This window comes from Homo sapiens, chromosome 1, assembly GCF_000001405.40.
Source record: "Homo sapiens chromosome 1, GRCh38.p14 Primary Assembly".
Taxonomy (NCBI): Eukaryota; Metazoa; Chordata; class Mammalia; order Primates; family Hominidae; genus Homo; species Homo sapiens.
In genome coordinates, this window is record NC_000001.11 from 166,092,384 (window position 1) to 166,113,909 (window position 21,526).

General features: G+C 42.6%; 1 protein-coding gene across 4 annotated transcripts in view; it reads right to left on the bottom strand.

Moving 5' to 3' along the window:
* FAM78B (family with sequence similarity 78 member B) overlaps positions 1–21,526 on the bottom strand; it is a 111,084-nt gene that overhangs the window by 36,466 nt on the left and 53,092 nt on the right. The window lies entirely within an intron of this gene.

Sequence of the window (21,526 nt, forward strand, 5' to 3'; positions counted from 1 at the left end):
CCCACCAGGGGCTTGTTCAAACGGGCCCCTCCAAGTGGTCAACACCTCCTCTACCTCCTTCCACCCCTAGTTAGTCCTACCCTGCCTCTTCTCTTCTGTAGGCCCCTTGCTGTGGATTCAGTTTTGGTTCTCTGCCTATTCTATGCCTACTGGTCTTTAAGCCTCAAGCTTCCTTAAGCCTGATCTTGTCATGAAGGTTGCAGACTCTGATTCCCCTTTATCCCATGCTCCTCAGCTGCAAGCTGGCTGTGCCCACCCAGAACTCCAGTCCTGACCCCTGTGACCCGAGGGCGTGGGCTCCCCAATATGAATTTTGTGTATACAGCACAGCTTTCATTTTAGGTCCAACCATCCCAAACATACTCTTTAAATTTGATGACATCTGTCTAGTTAGTTATTTTTGTGTGATACAGTGAGAGTAAAAGAGGCCTTCAGAAATGCCATTCTAATACACATTTTTGATAAATGAAGGAATAAGTCACTTGTTAAATCCTCCCAACAATGTTGGTTAGGTGGATATGATCATCATCAGACAAGCTTACTGGATCTCAGAGACATTCTAACTTGCCGTTAAGTGGCCGGGCTGAAATCAAACCTGGGTCTGAGCCCCAAACCTACACTCACACAAATCCACTTATAACAACAATATTAGTTAAGAATATATTTAAAAAAATAAAAAAATATACTTGGGTAGCTACTCCTCAAAGGAGCCCTGAGAGAAGTATTGTTTGGAATAGAAAACGCTTTATGTAATATGTAAATAAACACCTATTAAATTTTCCTGTTTTATGTTTTTTCAAATATATATCTCTCCAGCTTCTCAAAGTGGGGCATGCAGTTTGTGAGAAATGGTCCAGAACAGATATTCGGCAGAAAGGTGGGAAGAAGACATGGCCAAGTCATGTCTACATTCCAGGTGTGAACAATGGTTGTAATCAGCAGGAAAATGATAAAAATGATTTTAAATCCTCATCTCCAAGCAGAGGTTCCAAGTTCCTGCCCTTCCCATTGCTCCCACCAGGAAACAAGAGGCCGACAGGGCATTTGTCTCCTTTTATATCCTTTTCTCCTGGGTCAAAGACAGAAGAGAAGAAACAGAAACATTACTGCCCTGACATGTTTGGCCCTATAGGACCATGGATCCCCATTTTAAAGCCAGGGGCTTGCCTTCTTTTACATAAAATATCTTTCTATTCCTTCTCACATGTAAAGGCGCTAAGAGACTGAACCTTTGCCAAATTAATTGAGGACAAACTCATGAGAGAAAAGTATTTCAGGGCAATTCTTTGCAGAATAAAAGAATTCTGATCAGCCGAGGCTTCTCCAGGGCCTGTAAATAGCAGACAAGCAGGTCACATGGGAAACACTTTTTTTTTTTTTTAAAGAAAGCAATAAAATTCGCAGTTGTAGATTGGGCTCTGGTGGTAAGGCAAGCATTGATTTTCTTAGGAAAGATTTGAATTATACCTTGATGTGTCCTGATTGGCTAGGATGATACAGAATAGGGCTGCTGCAGAGGGACTTGCATAGGCCCAGGATCAATGACGGTGCACGGGGAGAGAGGAGCAGGGTGGGGGTATGGGGGACAGGGAAGAGGGGCACACAGGGCTTGCGAATGACTGTGTGTGTGTGTGTGTGTGTGTGTGTGTGTGTGTGTGTGTGTGGTGTTCTTGAATCTCTGCTTTATTGAGCCAGTGGTGCAGCAGGGGAAGGAAGCAGGACGTTGGGATGCAGGGCTGATCCCAAACAGGAAGCACCGAATGCAACCCCGGAGCAGAAGCCATCAGAACAGATAGCACTTAGGAACATGCCCATGCCTACAGCCAAGGGAAAAATGATGGCAAGCAAGGAGCAGGAACAGAGGTGGCAGGAATGACTGTAGGCAAGTGGGCCCTGATGGAGCAGGAGGCTGCAGTCTGGAGACAGAAGCAGAAGGCTACCACCCTGCTTTGGGACAGCTATAAAGAGAATCTGTGTCCCGTGCTCCATGTAGGGCTCAGTCTCATGCCATGGCGGGGCTCTCCACTGTGAAGTGTGCATGCAATGCTGACACCTGCTCTTTGACAGAGAGCTGCAGTGGGCATTTCCCAATCACTATGGACCCAGAACTGCCTGTGGCCAGGCTGCACTGTGTGGTGATGAGTCTGTAAATTTGTGCTGTTGTGATCTGTCAGGGCAGATGTTCCTTGACTTCCAACAGTCTGCAATTTTCTTAGAAGACTGATAATGCAGGAGTGCCCTATAGATGTGGAGACAGAATGTGCCTTAATGTTTCTGCAGTGAATATTCTGACCCTATATGGATGCTCCCATGAATCAAAATGGTCACATATTCTGGACGGAGCCCTGAAAAGATAAGGAGGACATCTGGATACCAAGTGAGGTTAAGACATGCCGGGAGGGACAAGACAGAACTTCCTTGGTCGTGACAGCAATAACAGTGCTAGTAACACTTACTGAGGTTTATACACCTATTGAATGCTGGAGGGTTTAGAGCATGCTACATAAATTTCTTTGTTTCACCTTCAGAATGACCCTTCTGCCTAGTAGATATTATTAGATTGGTTCTGTCTATAAGAAAATAAGTTTAGGGAGCTGAAGAGACTTGTCTAAGGTGACCAAATCAGCAGGTGGCTGAGCTGACAGGTCTGATGCTCAGGACACTTCTGCCTTCATCATTAGACCTGGTCTAATGATGACTCTGTCTGTCCATACCAGTCCTTGCAGAGTCATCACCATCCTTGCAGAAGCAAGTCTGCTGACAACCCTGCCCTCAGAGGCTTGGAAGGTCCGTCCTCAGGGTGGTTGCATTTCCCCGTTCCCAAAGGGCTTGCCCATGCCCTGTGTGCGGAGTGGGCTCCCTTCCCTTGAGCATGGCATACTCGATGCAGCAGCCCCGCAAGAGCAGCCGGAGTGCAGGTGGCAGCAGAAGAGTGCAAAGCTATCATGGGTGAGAAGAGAGGTGTGCTGAACAGTCTGGACAGGTTTAAAGATGGCAGAGGGGAGGGTAGAGTGGTCAGTACAGCCAGTGGGCCAGGAACCAGGACAGGCAGACAGGAATGCTGATGAGGCTCAAATAGGCCTGGTGCTGCCCAGAGGTTCAGGTGCCTTTGGGGGCATGTGTACTCTTCCTAGCCAATGCTGGGCATGGGCAGGGGAAGGGAGATTAGGAACTTCATACTGTTTTTAATAGGAGCGTTATGGCCAGCCCCTCCACCTCTGCCCCAGTCATTGTGAGCCCGCAGGAACCCCAGGCCTCCTCAGAGTCCCCTCTCCTCATCCTGCCAAAAAGGGGGCAGGAGGAAAAGGGCAGGGAATTGCTTACGTGATAGATAGTAAGTGCTACACAGACCACCCCCACCCCCAACCCAGGTAGGTCTCTGGGACCTGAGTAGATGAACAATTCAGGAACTGTTCTGTGTGTGTGTGTTGGGGTGGTGACGAGTAGGGGGGCAACACTCCAGTGGCACAGAGGAGTAAGGTGCTGGCTCCCAGGATCAGTGAAAGATTAAACACAGAGAAAATCAAATACTAAATGCAGGAAGCTGCAGACAGAAATGTAATTCCCCAGCTGGAAATGGCAGCACCTAAAAATACTGAGCTATGGTTCTCACAGGAATGCTCAATGCCCCACATTCAATCTAGAATGGCTTCTGGATTATGGGTTAGAGTAAATAAAAAAGATCATCTAAGCAACGTAACCATAGGTTTTTAGCTTAAGATGACATCTGGTATCAACATATTATCTGTCTCTAAGAAACTCAAATTGCCAGTCGTCCCACGAACCTCTGCTGTTCTCAGCAAATTTTCATCTTGACTTGCTTTGACTGCTGGGGAGAATATAAGTTTGGATTTCAGCTCTCCCTTGGGTCTTGGAGTTCTACTATTACCCAGGAGCCACTGTTGAGGGCAGGCTGGTCACTGGTCAGCACATGGCCTGGCCACTCTGGCATAACACAGTGAGCTTGGGCTGCTTACATCTGTGGATGGGTAGCTCACTTCACTGGCCAACCCAAACAGCCCCATGCATAGATCACTCTACATCCATCTCTTCTCCAAGAAAAACGACTTTATGTGCACAACCTCTCGATGGTTGGTCAGTGGTAGCATTTTGTTGTTGTTGTTAAGAAGGAAAACTTGCTCCATAATAGATCTCATTCCTGGTTCTGCGAAGTCCTAGCTATGTGACCTAGGGCGAGTCACTTGACTGCTTTGTGCCTCAGTTTCCTCATCTGTAAAGTAGAACGAGAGTATCTCCAACTGTCCTGATGTAGTGAGAGAGGCCTGCCTCAATGTTCTTGTCCTCCTCTCCTTACCCAGTTGGTCTTCCTCCCTGAATACCTACTATGGCAGCTATGCCTGCATCCCACCCTAGGCTGACCTTTGACTCCAGAAACCAGCCTGGAGTCCTACGATCCAGAGAAGATGAAGAGTTGTCTTCAAAAGAAAAAGAATGGGGCGAGGGGAGAGAGATCGTGGTGGATGGCAGGCAAGACTAGATTGCAGCTCTGGACAGAGCAGCGGGCGGCGGCTCACACTGTAAGCTGTAGGTCCAGATCGACTGCAAGAACAAACCAGCAATCCTGAGAGGACGCACAGACCCTCTGAAGGAAGCGGACTGCTCCTGCACGACCCAGGAGACCACCCCCCAAAACTGTGAGTGCCCCAACTGCAGAAGCAGGAAAGGGAGACGCTCCTCTCTTGAACACACACCCCTGCCGGAGAAGCTGAAGGTCTGTTTGTGGGAGAAGTTTCCGACTTTACCTGGAGCTGAGTCAGTCTGGAGAGCTGAGAGAAATACAGGAGTAGAGGAAGCAGCAGAAAGGCCCTGGGAGCTTGCTGGGTCCCCTAGCAGGCCATTCCTGCCTGGCACCATAGGGATCCAACGGGAGAGGAGCAGTGGGTAAAACTCCACAGGGGGAAGGAATTCTCTAGCTTAACTCTGCAACAACTTGAATAGGGCGAGAAGCCTCCTGGCCAGAACTCAGGGGAGGGTGCAAATCCAGCATACAGACTGCACAGGCAAGCGGAAGAACCAAGCCCCTTTTCTTCTGCAGCTGAGAGGCAGATAGCCAGGGGCAGGTTTTCAAGCCCATATGGCTCTCCAACTGGAAAGGGTCTGGGGACTGTTGCGGGGAGCATGGTGGGAGTGAGACCAGCCCTTTGGGGACTGAGACCAACCAGCCCTTTGGGTTGCGTGGGAGCTGGGTAAGGCCTGTGACTGCTGGCTTTCTCCAACTTCTGACAACCTATATGACTCTACAGAGGGAGCCATAATCCTCCTAGGTATACAACTCCAGTGACCTGGGAATCTTACCCCCATCCCCACAGCAGCTGCAGGAAGACCAGCTCAAGGAGAGTCTGAACTCAGACATGCCCAGCCCCGCCCCCACCTGATGGTCCTTCCCTACACACCCTGGTAACAGAAGACAAAGGGCATATAATCTTGGGAGTTACACGGTCCTGCCCACCACCAGTTCCTCCCCATAATACCACAGCTGATGCTCTCTGGAAAGCGCCATGTCCTGGCAGGAAGCCAACCAGCACAAAAATAGAGAATTAAACCACCAAAGCCAAGGACCCTCACGGAGTCCACTACACCCCTTTGCCACCTCCAACAGAACAGGTACTGGTATCCATGGCTGAGAGAACCATAGACCCACATCACAGGACTCTGTGTAGACAACTCCCAGTACCAACCTGGAGCCGGGTAGACTCGCTGGGTGGCTAGACCCAGAAGAGAGACAACAATCACTGCAGTTTGGGTAATAGGAAGCCACATCCATAGGAAAAGGGGGAGAGTACTACATCAAGGGAACACATGTGGGACAAAAGAATCTGAACAATGGCCTTCAACCCTAGACCTTCCCTTTGACAGAGACTACCCAAATGAGAAGGAATCAGAAAACCAACTCTGGTAATATGATAAAAAAAGGCTCTTCAACAGCCCTGCCCCGCCGCCTCCAAAATCACACTAGTTCATCAGCAATTGATCCAAACGAAGAAGAAACACCTGATTTACCTGAGAAAGAATTCAGAAGGTTAGTTATTAAGCTACTCAGGGAGGGACCAGAGAAAGGTGAAGCCCAGTGCAAGGAAATCCAAAATATGACACAAAAAGTGAAGGGAGAAATATTCAAGGAAATACACAGCTTAAAGAAAAAACAATAAAAAATTCAAGAAACTTTGGACACACTTTCAGAAATGTGAAATGCTCTGGAAAGTCTCAGCAACAGAACTGAACAAGCAGAAGAAAGAAATTCAGAGCTCAAAGACAAAGTCTTCGAATTAACCCAATCCAACAAAGACAAAGAAAAAAGAATAAAATATGAACAAAGCCTGCAAGAAGTCTGGGATTATGTTAAATGACCAAATCTTAGAATAATCGGTGTTCCTGAGGAAAAAGATAATTCTAAAAGCTTGGAAAACATATTTGGAGGAATAATCAAGGAAAACTTCCCTGGTTTTGCTAGAGTTAAGACCTAGACATCCAAATACAAGGAGCACAAAGAACACCTGGGAAATTCATCACGAAAAGATCTTTGCCTAGACACACTGTCATCAGGTTATCCAAAGTTAAGATGAAGGAAAGAATCTTAAGAGCTGTGAGACAGAAGCATCAGGTAACTTATAAAGGAAAACCTATTAGATTAACAGCAGATTTCTCAGCAGAAACCCTACAAGCTAGAAGGGATTGGGGCCCTATCTTTAGCCTCCTCTAACAAAACAATTATCAGCCAAGAATTTTGTATCCAGAGAAACCAAGCACCACATATGAAGGAAAGATACAGTTGTTTTCAGACAAACAAATGATAAGAGAATTCTCCACTAGCAAACCACCACTGTAAGAACTGCTAAAAGGAGCTCTAAATCTTGAAACAAATTCTAGAAAGACATCAAAACAGAACCTCTTTAAGGCATAAATCACACAGGACCTATAAAACAAAAATACAAGTTAAAAAGCAAAAACAAACAAACAAAAAAACGAAGTACACAGGCAACAAAGAGCATGATGAATGCAACTAGTACCTCACAAATCAATACTAACATTGAACGTAAATGGTCTAAATGCTGCACTTAAAAGATGCAGAACCCACAGAATGGATAAAAACTCACCAACTAACTATCTGCTGCCTTCAGGAGACTCACCTAGCACATAAAGACTCATATAAAGTTAAATTAAAGGGGTGGAAAAAGCCATTTCATGCAAATGGGGTAGCAGCGAGCAGGGGTAGGTAGCTATTCTTATATCAGACAAAACAAACTTTAAAGCAACAGCAGTTAAAACAGACAAAGAGGGACATTATATAATGGTAAAAGGCCTCGTCCAAAAGGAAAATATCACAATTCTAAACATATATGTACCTAACACTGAAGCTTGCAAATTTATAAAACAATTACTAATTGACCTAAGAAATGAGACAGACAACAACACAATAATGGTAGGGGACTTGAATATTCCATTGACAGCACTAGACAGGTCATTAAGACAGAAAGTCAACAAAGAAACAATGGATTTAAACTATACCTTGGAACAAACGGAATTAATAGATATACAACAGCCGCAGAATACAGATTCTATTCAACAGTGCATGGAACTTTCTCCAAGACAGACCATATGATAGGCCATAAAACGAGCCTCAATAAATTTAAGACAACTGAAATTATATCAAGCACTCTCTCAGATCACAGTGGAATAAAACTGGAAATCAACTCCAAAAGGAACCTTCAAAACCATCCAAATACATGGAAATTAAATAACCTGGTCCTGAATGAGCATTGAGTCAAAAACAAAATCAAGATGGAAATCTAAAAATTCTTTGAGGAGGCAGTTCCAAGATGGCCAAATAGGAACAGCTCCAGTATACAGCTCCCAGCAGGAGCGATGCAGAAGACGGATGATTTCTGCATTTCCAACTGAGGTACCGGGTTCATCTCATTGGGGATTGTCAGACAGTGGGTGCAGGACAGTAGGTGCAGTGCACCTAGCATGAGCCGAAGCAGGGCAAGGCATTGCCTCACCCAGGAAGTGCAAGGGGTCAGGGATTTCCCTTTCCTAGCCAAGGAAAGGGGTGACAGATGGCACCTGGAAAATCGGGTCCCTCCCACCCTAATACTGTGCTTTTCCGATGGTCTTAGCAGACAGCACACCAGGAGATTATATCCCATGCATGGCTCAGAGGGCCCTATGCCCACAGAGCCTTGCTGATTGCTAGCACAGCAGTCTGAGATCAAACTGCAAGGTGGCAGCAAGGCTGGGGGAGGGGCGCCTGCCATTGCTGAGGCTTGAGCAGGTAAACAAAGCAGCTGGAAAGCTCGAACTGGGTGAAGCCCACCGTAGCTCAAGGAGGCCTGCCTGCCTCTGTAGATTCCACCTCTGGGAGCAGGGCATAGCCAAACAAAAGGCAGCAGAAACCTCTGCAGACTTAAATGTCCCTGTCTGACAGATTGGAAGACAGTAGTGGTTCTCCCAGCATGCAGCTTGAGATCTGAGAATGGACAGACTGCCTCCTCAAGTGGGTCCCTAACCCCCTGAGTAGCCTAACTGGGAGGCACCCCCAGTAGGGGCAAACTGACACCTCACATGGCCAGGTACCACTCTGAGACAAAACTTCCAGAGGAATGATCAGGCAGCAACATTTGCTGTTCACCAATATCTGCTGTTCTGCAGCCTCCGCTGCTGATACCCAGGCAAACAGGGTCTGGAGTGGGCCTCTGGCAAACTCCAACAGACCTGCAACTGAGGGTCCCGACTGTTAGAAGGAAAACTAACAAACAGAAAGGACATCCACACCAAAACCCCATCTGTACATCACCATCATCAAAGACAAAAGGTAGATAAAACCACAAAGATGGGGAAAAAACAGAGCAGAAAAACTGAAAATTCTAAAAATCAGAGCGCCTCTTCTCGAAAGGAATGCAGCTCCTCACCAGCAATGGAACAAAGCTAGACAGAGAATAACTTTGAGGAGTTGAGAGAAGAAGGCTTCAGACAATCAAACTTCTCCGAGCTAAAGGAGGAAGTTTGAACCCATGGTGAGGAAGTTCAAACCCATGGCAAAGAAGTTAAAAACCTTGAAAAAAAATTAGATGAATGGCTAACTAGAATAACCAATGCAGAGAAGTCCTTAAAGGACCTGATGGAGCTGAAAACCATACCACAAGAACTATGTGACGAATGCGCAAGCTTCAGTAGCCGATTCGATCAACTGGAAGAAAGGGTATCAGTGATTGAAGATCAAACGAATGAAATGAAGTGAGAAGGAAGTTTAGAGAAAAAAGAATAAAAAGAAACGAACAAAGCCTCCAAGAAATATGGGACTATGTGAAAAGACCAAATCTACGTCTGATTGGTGTACCTGAAAGTGACGGGGAGAATGGAACCAAGTTGGAAAACACTCTGCAGGATATTATCCAGGAGAACTTCCCCAATCTAGTAAGGCAGGCCAACATTCAAATTCAGGAAATACAGAGAACACCACAAAGATACTCCTCGAGAAGAGCAACTCCAAGACACATAATTGTCAGATTCACCAAAGTTGAAATGAAGGAAAAAATGTTAAGGGCAGCCAGAGAGAAAGGTCAGGTTACCCACAGAGGGAAGCCCATCAGACTAACAGCTGAACTCTCGGCAGAAACTCTACAAGCCAGAAGAGAGTGGGGGCCAATATTCAACATTCTTAAGGAAAATAATTTTCAACCCAGAATTTCATATCCAGCCAAACTAAGCTTCATAACCAAAGGAGAAATAAAATACTTTACAGACAAGCAAATGCTGAGAGATTTTGTCACCACCAGGCCTGCCCTAAAAGAGCTCCTGAAGGAAGCACTAAACATGAAAGGAACAACCGGTAACAGCCACTGCAAAAACATGCCAAATTGTAAAGACCGTTGAGGCTAGGAAGAAACTGCATCAACTAACGAGCAAAATAACCAGCTAACATCATCATGACAGGATTAAATTCACACATAACAATATTAACGTAAATGTAAATGGGCTAAATGCTCCAATTAAAAGACACAGACTGGCAAATTGGATAAAGAGTCAAGACCCATCAGTGTGCTGTATTCAGGAAACCCGTCTCATCTGTAGAGACAAACATAGGCTCAAAATAAAGGGATGGAGGAAGATCTACCAAGCAAATGGAAAACAAAAAAAGGCAGGGGTTGCAATCCTAGTCTCTGATAAAACAGACTTTAAACCAACAAAGATCAAAAGAGACAAAGAAGGCCATTACATAATGGTAAAGGGATCAATTCAACAAGAAGAGCTAACTATCCTAAATATATATGCGCCCAATACAGGAGCACCCAGATTCATAAAGCAAGTCCTTAGAGACCTACAAAGAGACTTAGACTCCCACACAATAATAACGGGAGACATTAACATCCCACTGTCAACATTAGACAGATCAATGAGACAGAAAGTTAACAAGGATATCCAGGAATTGAACTCAGCTCTGCACCAAGCAGACCTAATAGACATCTACAGAACTCTCCACCCCAAATCAACAGAATATACATTCTTTTCAGCACGACACCACACCTATTCCAAAATTGACCACATAGTTGGAAGTAAAGCACTCCTCAGCAAATGTAAAAGAAAAGAAATTATAACAGTGTCTCAGACCACAGTGCAATCAAACTAGAACTCAGGATCAAGAAACTCACTCAAAACTGCTCAACTACATGGAAACTGAACAACCTGCTCCTGAATGACTATTGGGTACATAACGAAAGGAAGGCAGAAATAAAGATGTTCTTTGAAACCAATGGGAACAAAGATACAACATACCAGAATCTCTGGGACACATTTAAAGCAGTGTGTAGAGGGAAATTTATAGCACTAAAGCCCACAAGAGAAAGCAGGAAAGATCTAAAATTGACACCCTAACATCACAATTAAAAGAACTAGAGAAGCAAGGGCAAACACATTCAAAAGCTAGCAGAAGGCAAGAAATAACTAAGATCAGAGCAGAACTGAAGGAAATAGAGACACAAAAAACCCTTCAAAAAATCAATGAATCCAGGAGCTGGTTTTTTGAAAAGATCAACAAAATTAATAGACGTTAGCAAGACTAATAAAGAAGAAGAGAGAGGAGAATCAAATAGACACAATAAAAAATGATAAGGGGGATATCACCAACGATCCCACAGAAATACAAACTACTGTCAGAGAATACTATAAACACCTCTATGCAAATAAACTAGAAAATCTAGAAGAAATGGATAAATTCCTCGACACATACACCTTCCCAAGACTAAACCAGGACGAAGTTGAATCTCTGAATAGACCGATAATAGACTCTGAAATTGAGGCAATAATTAATAGCTTACAAACCAAAAAAAGTCCAGGTCCAGATAGATTCACAGCCGAATTCCACCAGAGCTTCAAGGAGGAACTGGTACCATTCCTTCTGAAACTATTCCAATCAATAGAAAAAGAGGGTATCCTCCTTAACTCATTTTATGAGGCCAGCATCATCCTGATACCAAAGCCTGGCAGAGACACAAAAATAAAAGAGAATTTTAGACCAATATCCCTGAGGAACATTGATGCAAAAATCCTCAATAAAATACTGGCAAACCGAATCCAGCAACACATCCAAAAGCTTATCCACCATGATCAAGTGGGCTTCATCCCTGGGATGCAAGGCTGGTTCAACATACGCAAATCAATAAACATAATCCAGCATATAAAGAGAACCAACAACAAAAACCACATGATTATCTCAATAGATGCAGAAAAGGCTTTTGACAAAATTCAACAGCCCTTCATGCTAAAAACTCTCAATAAATTAGGTATTGATGGGACGTATCTCAAAATAATAAGAGCTATTTATGACAAACCCACAGCCAATATCATATTGAATGGGCAAAAACTAGAAGCATTCCCTTTGAAAACTGGCACAAGACAGGGATGCCCTCTCTCACCAGTCCTATTCAACATAGTGTTGGAAGTTCTGGCCAGGGCAATCAGGCAGGAGAAGGAAATATAGGGTATTCAATTAGGAAAAGAGGAAGTCAAATTGTCCCTGTTTGCAGGTGACATGATTGTATATCTAGAAAACCCCATCACCTCAGCCCAAAATCTCCTTAAGCTGATAAGCAACTTTAGCAAAGTCTCAGGATACAAAATCAATGTGCAAAAATCACAAGCATTCTTATACACCAATAACAGACAAACAGAGAGCCAAATCATGAGTGAACTCCCATTCACAATTGCTTCAAAGAGAATCAAATAGCTAGGAATCCAACTTACAAGGGACGTGAAGGACCTCTTCAAGGAGCACTACAAACCACTGCTCAACAAAATAAAAGAGGATACAAACAAATGGAAGAACATTCCATGCTCATGGGTAGGAAGAATCAACATCGTGAAAATGGCCATACTGCCCAAGGTAATTTATAGATTTAATGCCATCCCTATCAAGCTACCAATGACTTTCTTCACAGAATTGGAAAAAACTACTTTAAAGTTCATATGGAACTAAAAAAGAGCCCGCATTGCCAAGTCAATCCTAAGCAAAAAGAACAAAGCTGGAGGCATCATGCTACCTGACTTCAAACTATACTACAAGGGTAGAGTAACCAAAACAGCATGGTACTGGTACCTAAACAGACATATAGACCAATGGAACAGAACAGGGCCCTCAGAAATAATGCCACATATCTACAACTATCTGATCTTTGACAAACCTGACAAAAACAAGCAATGGGGAAAGGATTCCCTATTTAATAAATGGTGCTGGGAAAACTGGCTAGCCATATGTAGAAAGCTGAAACTGGATCCCTTCCTTACACCTTATACAAAAATTAATTCAAGATGCATTAAAGACTTAAATGTTAGACCCAAAACCATAAAAACCCTAGAATAAAACCTAGGCAATACCAGTCAGCACATAGGCATGGGCAAGGACTTCATGTCTAAAACACCAAAAGCAATGGCAACAAAAGCCAAAATTGACAAATGGGATCTAATTAAACTAAAGAGCTTCTGCACAGCAAAAGAAACTACCATCAGAGTGAACAGGCAACCTACAGAATGGGAGAAAATTTTCGCAACCTACTCATCTGACAAAGGGCTAATATCCAGAATCTACAATGAACTCAAACAAACTTACAAGAAAAAAGCAAACAACCCCATCAACAAGTAGGCGAAGGATATGAACAGACACTTCTCAAAAGAAGACATGTATGCAGCCAACAGACACATGAAAAAATGCTCATCATCACTGGCCATCAGAGAAATGCAAATCAAAACCACAATGAGACACTATCTCACACCAGTTAGAATGGTGATCATTAAAAAGTCAGGAAACAACAGGTGCTGGAGAGGATGTGGAGAAATAGGAACACTTTTACACTGTTGGTGGGACTGTAAACTAGTTCAACCATTGTGGAAGTCAGTGTGGCGATTCCTCAGGGATCTAGAACTAGAAATACCATTTGACCCAGCCATCCCATTACTGGGTATATACCCAAAGGATTATAAATCATGCTGCTATAAAGACACATGCACACGTATGTTTATTGCGGCACTATTCACAATAGCAAAGACTTGGAACCAAGCCAAATGTCCAACAATGATAGACTGGATTAACAAAATGTGGCACATATACACCATGGAATACTATGCAGCCATAAAAAATGATGAGTTCATGTCCTTTGTAGGGACATGGGTGAAGATGGAAACCATCATTCTCAGCAAAGTATCACAAGGACGAAAAACCAAACACCGTATGTTCTCACTCACAGGTGGGAATTGAACAGTGAGAACACATGGACACAGGAAGGGGAACATCGCACACCGGGGCCTGTTGTGGGGTGGGGGGAGGGGGGAGGGATAGCATTAGGAGATATACCTAATGTAAATGATGAGTTAATGGGTGCAGCACGCCAACATGGCACATGTATACATATGTAACAAACCTGCACATTGTGCACATGTACCCTAAAACTTAAATAAAAAAAAAAGAAAATGTAGTACACATACACCATGGAATACTATACAGTATAAAAAAGAATGAAATCATGTGCACATGTACCCTAAAACTTAAATTAAAAAAAAAAGAAAATATAGTACACATACACCATGGAATACTATACAATATACAAAAGAATGAAATCATGTCCATTGCAGCAACACAGATGCAGCTGGAGGTCATTGTCATATAGTGAGCATTTAAGTGAATTTAAGAGCATTTAAGGGCATTTAAGTGAATTAACACAGGAACAGAAAACCAAATACTGCATGTTCTCACTGCTAAGTAGGAGCTAAACATTGGGTACTCATGGACAAAAAGATGGCAACATCAGACTGTGGGGACTACTTGGAGGGGGAGAGAGGGAGGGAAGGAAGCAAGAGTTGAAAAACTAACAATTGGGTATTATGCTCATTACCTGGGTGATGGGATCACTTATACCCGAAACCTCAGCATTACACAATATACCATGTAAGAAACTTGCACATGTACCCCCTGAATCTAAAATAAAAGTTGAAGTTATATCAAAAAACTTTCATCAATAAAAACATATACAAAAGTAAAAAAAAAAATCTTTGAACTGAAGAACAATAATGACACAACCTACCGAAATCTCTGGGATACAACAAAGACGGTGCTAAGAGGAAAGTTCCTAGACCTAAATGCCTACATCAAAAAGACTGAAAGAGCACAAACTGACCCTCTAAGGTCACACCTCAAGGAACTACAGAAACAAGAATAAACCAAACCAAAACCCAGTAGAAGAAAGAAAATAACCAAGATCAGAGCAGAACGAAATAAAATTGAAACAAACAAAAAATACAATAGATAAATGAAACGAAAAGCTGGTTCTTTGAAAAGATAAATAAAATTGATAGACCATTGGCAAGATTAACCAAGAAAAGAAGAGAGAAAATCCAAATAACCTCACTAAGAAACAAAACAGGAGATATTACAACTGACACCACTGAAATACAAAAGATTATTCAGGGCTCTTATGAATACCTTTGTGCACATAAACTAGAAAATCTGGAAGAGATAGAAAAATTCCTGGAAAAACACAACCCTCCTAGCTTAAATCAGGAAGAATTAGATACCCTGAACAGACCAATAACAAGCAGATTGAAATGGTAATTTAAAAATTACCAACAAAAAAAGTCCAGGACCAGACAGATTAATATAAGAATTCTATCAGACATTCAAAGAAGCATTGGTACCAGTCCTTTTGATACTATTCCACAAGATGGAGAAGGAACCTTCCCTAATTCATTCTATGAAGCCAGTATCACCCTAATACCAAAACCAGAAAAGGATATAACCAAAAAAGAAAACTACAGACTGAATATCCTCGGTGAACATAGACGCTAAAATCCTCAACAAAATACTTGCTTACTGAATCCAACAACATATCAAAGAGATAATCCGTGATGATCAAGTGGGTTTCATACCACGGATGCAGGGATGGTTTAACATACACAAGACAATAAATGTGATACACCACATAAACAGAATTAAAAACGAAAATCACATGATCATTTCAACAGCTGCAGAAAAAGCATTTGACAAAATCCAGCATCACTTTATGATTAAAACTCTCAGCAAAATAGGCATACAAGGGACATACCTTAATGTAATAAAAACCATCTACGACAAACCCACAGCCAACATAATACTGAATAGGGAAAGGTCGAAAGCATTCCCTCTGAGAACTGGAACAAGACAAGGATGCCCACCCTCACCACTTCTCTTCAACATAGTACTGGAAGTCCTAGTCAGAGCAATCAGACAAGAGAAAGAAATAAAGGGCATCGAAATCGGTAAAGAGGAAGTCAAACTGTCACTGTTTGCTGACAATATGATTGTTTACCTTGAAAACCCTAAGGACTCCTCCAGAAAGCTCCTAGAACTGATAAAAGAATTCAGCAAAGTTTCCAGGTACAAGATTAATGTACACCAATCAGTAGCTCTTCTATACACCAACAGTGACCAAGCAAAGAATCAAATCAAGAACTCAACCCCTTTTACAATAGCTACAAAAATAAGTAAATAAAAAATAAATATAATACTTAGGAATATACCTAATCAAGGAGTCAAAAGACCTCTACAAGGAAAACTACAAAACACTGCTGAAAGAGATCATAGATGACATGAACAAATGGAAACACATCCCACGCTTATGGATGGGTCGAATCAATATTGTGAAAATGACCATACTGCCAAAAGCAATCTACAAATTCAATGCAATTCCCATCAAAATACCACTATCATTCTTCACAGAACTAGAAAAAACAATCCTAAAATTCATACGGAAACAAAAAAGAGCATGCATAGCCAAAGCAAGACTAAGCAAAAAGAACAAATCTGGAGGCATCACACTACCTGATTTCAAACTGTACTATAAGGCCATATTCACCAAAACAGCATGGTACTGGTACAAAAATAGGCACATAGACCAATGGAACAAAATAGAGAACCCAGAAATAAATCCAAATACTTACAGCCAACTGATCTTTGACAAAGCAAATAAAAACATCCAGTGGGGGAAAGGACACCCTTGTCAACAAATGGTGCTGAGATAATTGACTAGCCACATGCAGAATGAAACTGGATCCTTATTTCTCACCTTACACAAAAATCAACTCAAGATGAATTAAGGACCTAAACCTAAGACCCAAAACTATAAAAATTCTAGAAGATAACACTGGAAAAACCCTTCTAGACATTGGCTTAGGCAAGGATTTCATGACCAAGAACCCAAAAGCAAATGTGACAAAAACAAAGATAAATAGTTGAGACCTAATTAAACTAAAGAGCTTTTGCACAGCAAAAAGAACAGTCAGCAGAGTAAACAGACAACCCACAGAGTGGAGAAAATCTTTACCACCTATACATCTGACAAAGGACTAATATCCAGAATCTATAATGAACTCAAACAAATCAGTAAGAAAAAAACAAACAATCCAATCAAAAAGTGGGCTAAGGACATGAATAGAAAATTCTCAAAAGAGGATATACAAATGGCCAACAAACATATCAAAAAATGCTCAACATCACTAATGATCAGGGAAATGCAAATCAAAACCACAATGTGGTATCACCTCACTCCTGCAAGAATGGCCATAAATGAAAAATCAAAAAACAGTAGATGGTGGTGTGGATGCGGTGAACAGAGAACACTTCTACACTGCTGTTGGGAATGTAAACTAGTACAGCCTGCTATGGAAAACAGTGTGGAGATTCCTTAAAGAACTAAAAGTAGAACTACCATTTGATCCACCAGTCACACTATTGAGTATCTACCCAGAGGAAAAGAGTCATTATTTGAAAAATATACTTGGACACGCATGTTTATAGCAGCACAATTCACAATTGCAAAATTGTGGAACCAACCCAAATGCCCATCAATCAACGAGTGGATAAAGAAACTGTGATATATATGTATATATGTATATATATATATATATGTATATATGTATATATATATATATATATATGTATGTGTATATATATATATGTATATATGTATATATATATATATATATATATATATATAATGGAATACTATGCAGACATAAAAGGGAATGAATTAACAGCATTTGCAGTGACCTGGATGAGACTGGAGACTGTTATTGTAAGTAAAGTAACTCAGGAATGGAAAACCAAACATCGTATGTTCTCACTGATATGTGGGAGCTAAGGTATGAGGACACAAAGGCATAAGAATGATGCAATGGACTTTGGGGACTTGGGGGGAAGTAGAGGAGAGAGGGATAGAAGACTATAAATATGGTGCAGTGAATACTGCTCGGGTGATGGGTGCACCAAAATCTCACAAATCACCACTTAAGAACTTACTCATGTAACCCAATACCACCTGTACCCCAATAACTTAAGAAAAAAATATTAAAAAAAAGAAAGAGAATGGGGATTTATCACTGGCCCTGATCCTGCTATTCCCTGGGTATCATGAAATCCCAACCTCAGATCCTCCCTCTGCAGAGCTGGGCATCTTTGAGGAGTCAGGCAGTAAGAGACAGCAAGTGAGCTTTCACTTCTGCTGTTTTGGACATTACTCATTATTATTATTATTGTTCTTTTTCCCTGTGGCTGAGGCCAACACAAGTGGTAAGCAATCAATGTCTTTTTCTCCCATGTGGTAGTACCCAAAGCCAGCTGAGAGTTAACTTCACCACTGCTTTCTTGCTTGCCTGTCACAGAAACAGTGACTATATCACCTGTGCACACTGGCTAGTGGCTTGGTGGGCAACAGTGACTTAAGATGGTATCCAGCTTTGAATGGAGCCACACAGGGAGACCTGAGGAGTCTCTGCTTTTAGAGAGTAGAGCCTATGCGCCCAACTATTAGAGACTCAGCTTGTGATACCTTCCCAGAGCATCTGGCAGAGCTCTGTGCAACTGAGCATATTTAGACTTGTGAGGAGTGAGGCAGAAGGTATAATGAGATAAAAAGGTATTAGGACAGGCTGTGAATTAAGAAGTTACAAGTGTGAGCATATATTGGCACTATATAATCAAGCTTTGGAAAGTCTGTGCCCCTATAAATGTATATAGAAATGACAGAAACCTGAAATGTCCCTGCTGGGCAAATATGAAGGAGGATACAGGAGTTGGGGTGAATAAAATGACCAATATGAACTACCATCTTGGATAACCCAGCTTGGAGCATGGAAAGTGTAAGGTCTCTGTGTGAAGATAAGCTGACGGGGCCACTGTAGATAGGTGTCTCCTGACCATCCCACAAACACTAGCATAGACTTGGCCCTTCTCTTTCATATCTCCTCTGGGTCAAGCAACCATGATGTCCAGGTGGCTAGGATCCATCCGGATTAGTGCTGCCTTCTGCATCAAGGACACTCCAAATGTACGAAGTTGTCAGAAATAGGAACTCTCTCCAGGACTGATAGGCAGGGATAGGAAGGGTAAGGTTATATTGAATTTCATATTTGCTCTCTGCACTCCCACCAATGGGCCTCTGCTTTCAGAGCTGGGTTATCAAGTTGAGAGGCCTAATACACAAGTGTAGAGAACAAGTTAGAAATCTCAGATAAGTACAGGGCTACCTGTTACAGAGGCTGGAGCAGCTGTCTACAGCAGTAACACATTGACTGTGATTCGCAGACAGTGTCCTTGCTGTGCTTATAGTCTATTTTGGAAATATAAAAAGTCTCTTGCTTTAGTTACAAGTTAACTGGGAATATCACTTCCTTTTGGTCACCTGAAGTGGGGGAAAAGTCAAACTCCCAAGGTCAAAGTCTACGTCTTTATAACAGAAAACTGTCAAGTGGTAAGTGGACTGGGATGCCCTCTGCATGGGGGTTTTTCAGGGGATCCAACGAATGCAGGTCATCAAAGTTCACAGCATAGTTCTTGGCACATAATAAGCACTCAGCAAATATGCATTATTATCTAATTTCCTCTAACATTTAAGAAACAACTAGCCATAGAGCAGCGTCCCTGGCTTCCCAGAGGCTATACTTCATTGCCTGTTCCATTCTTATTGCTCTCTGGCTAAATTTCCATCCAGGTCATAGAGATTTTGCCTAAGAGAATATAAGTTGAGTTCAGTTAAGTTGTGTGATCCAGGCTCTCGAAGTCACGTTTTCTTTATTTTAACATCAGAAGACATGACTCAGTGCTGTGTCCTTCCCTGGCTATAATTCTGCAGTTTCATCTCCAGAAGCAGCCTAGCCTCTCTGGCATCACTGCCCCTGCCTAAATTCTTGGGGTATATCTGTCCACTGCTCTGCAATTCTCTTCTGGCTTGGTCATTCCCATCTTCAAAACAGATTTACCAGGGATTAGCCTTCTTACTTATTTACCACATTTCTATTATAATTGTGCTCACAACCCTGGTCCTTGGATTGACAGACACAAAACAGATTAAGGATGAAGAAAATAAAGGTGTGAGCCCAAAGCAAAGCAGAATTCTATGAAGCCCAGCCGTTTTCATTTCTTGTGATCTTCACCTCAATTCACCCTGTTTATTAAAAAGTACTAATCAGGTTTTTTAGGTCAACAGTCTGAATTAGTCTAGGAGTGAAGTCTCTGGAGTTTGAAAGGGCACCTTCCCAAAGAATCTGCCTCCAAATGCTGCAAGACCAAGTGCTCTCATGGGTCGGCCTCAGGGAAGGCCTTGAAAAAAAGATACTAATTCTTGGATTCTAATGATGACAAAAGGAGTACACACTAACGTCCCACTCCAGCTGCTCCTTTCTGAGGAGCCTTATTATTCAAGGAGTGGCTAGAATATGCTGGTGCTCCATCACTCCATGAGGCAGGCATTATCCACACCCCTGCTCTCAAACCAATAACAGATGGAGATATGGCAGCAAGGCTATGGTCCACCTAGGATTCTGTGAGCACTTCCTACATGCCAGGCCCTGTGTAAATACTACACAGTCAACTTGTCTTCCCAACAATCCTATGAGGTACATACTAGCATTACTCCCATTTTACAGATGTGGAAACCCAGGTGCAGAGAGGTTATGTAATTTGCCATAGTCATATCACTAATAATTGCCAGAGTTGAGAAATACACTCATGTCTATATTATTGGGAAATCCACTTAAAGTGCATTGTTCAATTAGCTAAGTTAGAGAGATGAGAGATTTTAAAAAATCTGTTTTCTAATTAAAAAAATAAAAATACAGAAACTTATTGTAGGGAAAGAGGCTCAGCTATGCTGTCTGATGGTCACTCAGTCGAAAGATGCTCAATGGCCCCAGACCCTGCACATGCTGTCCTGGTCAAGGTGAGGAGGTGAGCAAACCGACTCTCAACACGGCCTCTGGACCAGGTTTGTTGGCCTTGGCCAAGACCCTCCTTTGGTGGGTCCTGTGGATCCCCTAGTCAGTGTTCTGCCTCCTTACAGACTTCCTGGGAGAAAAAGACTTACTTTCCAGGGGGATAATGTTGGGTTTGAAATCCCAACTCTGTTCCTTGCAGGTGCATGTTCAGATTACTTCACTGCTCCAGCTCTGGTTTCCTCATCTGTTAAACAGGGCTAACAGCTACTTCACAGAACTATGAAGATTAAATTAAATGTGTGATGAGACAGCACGTGTGAAAGCCTTACAAACATTAGCGACTAAGCATACAACTAAATTTATTTTCACTGGGGTGTGAATGCCCATTAGGATTTACCCTCCAAGGATATCTGCAAACAAATGATGCTCAAATTAGTGGGATGTGTATGTGGCATCAGAAGTTAAGGAATCCTGAAAATTCCTCCAGCTGGCTGGAAGGACTGGAGCCACACCTGCCACCCTTCTGCAAGGCATGTCCTGCCATAGTGTCCCAGCTGGCTTTCCCTGAACTCTCTTAAGTATTTTGCCTTAAGCAGCCCTGGGCAGCAATGAAAGGGTGTTTCCTGGGACAGAAGGGAGGCTGAACAGGCATAGGAGATGGGCCAGTGTGCAGATGGGTGTACCTCTGAGACCAACAGGCCTCTATTCAGCTCTCTCCTCAGTGGGGAATGGAGAACAGAAGAAGATGCCATCTTCGCAGGGGCAGTGTCAGGGT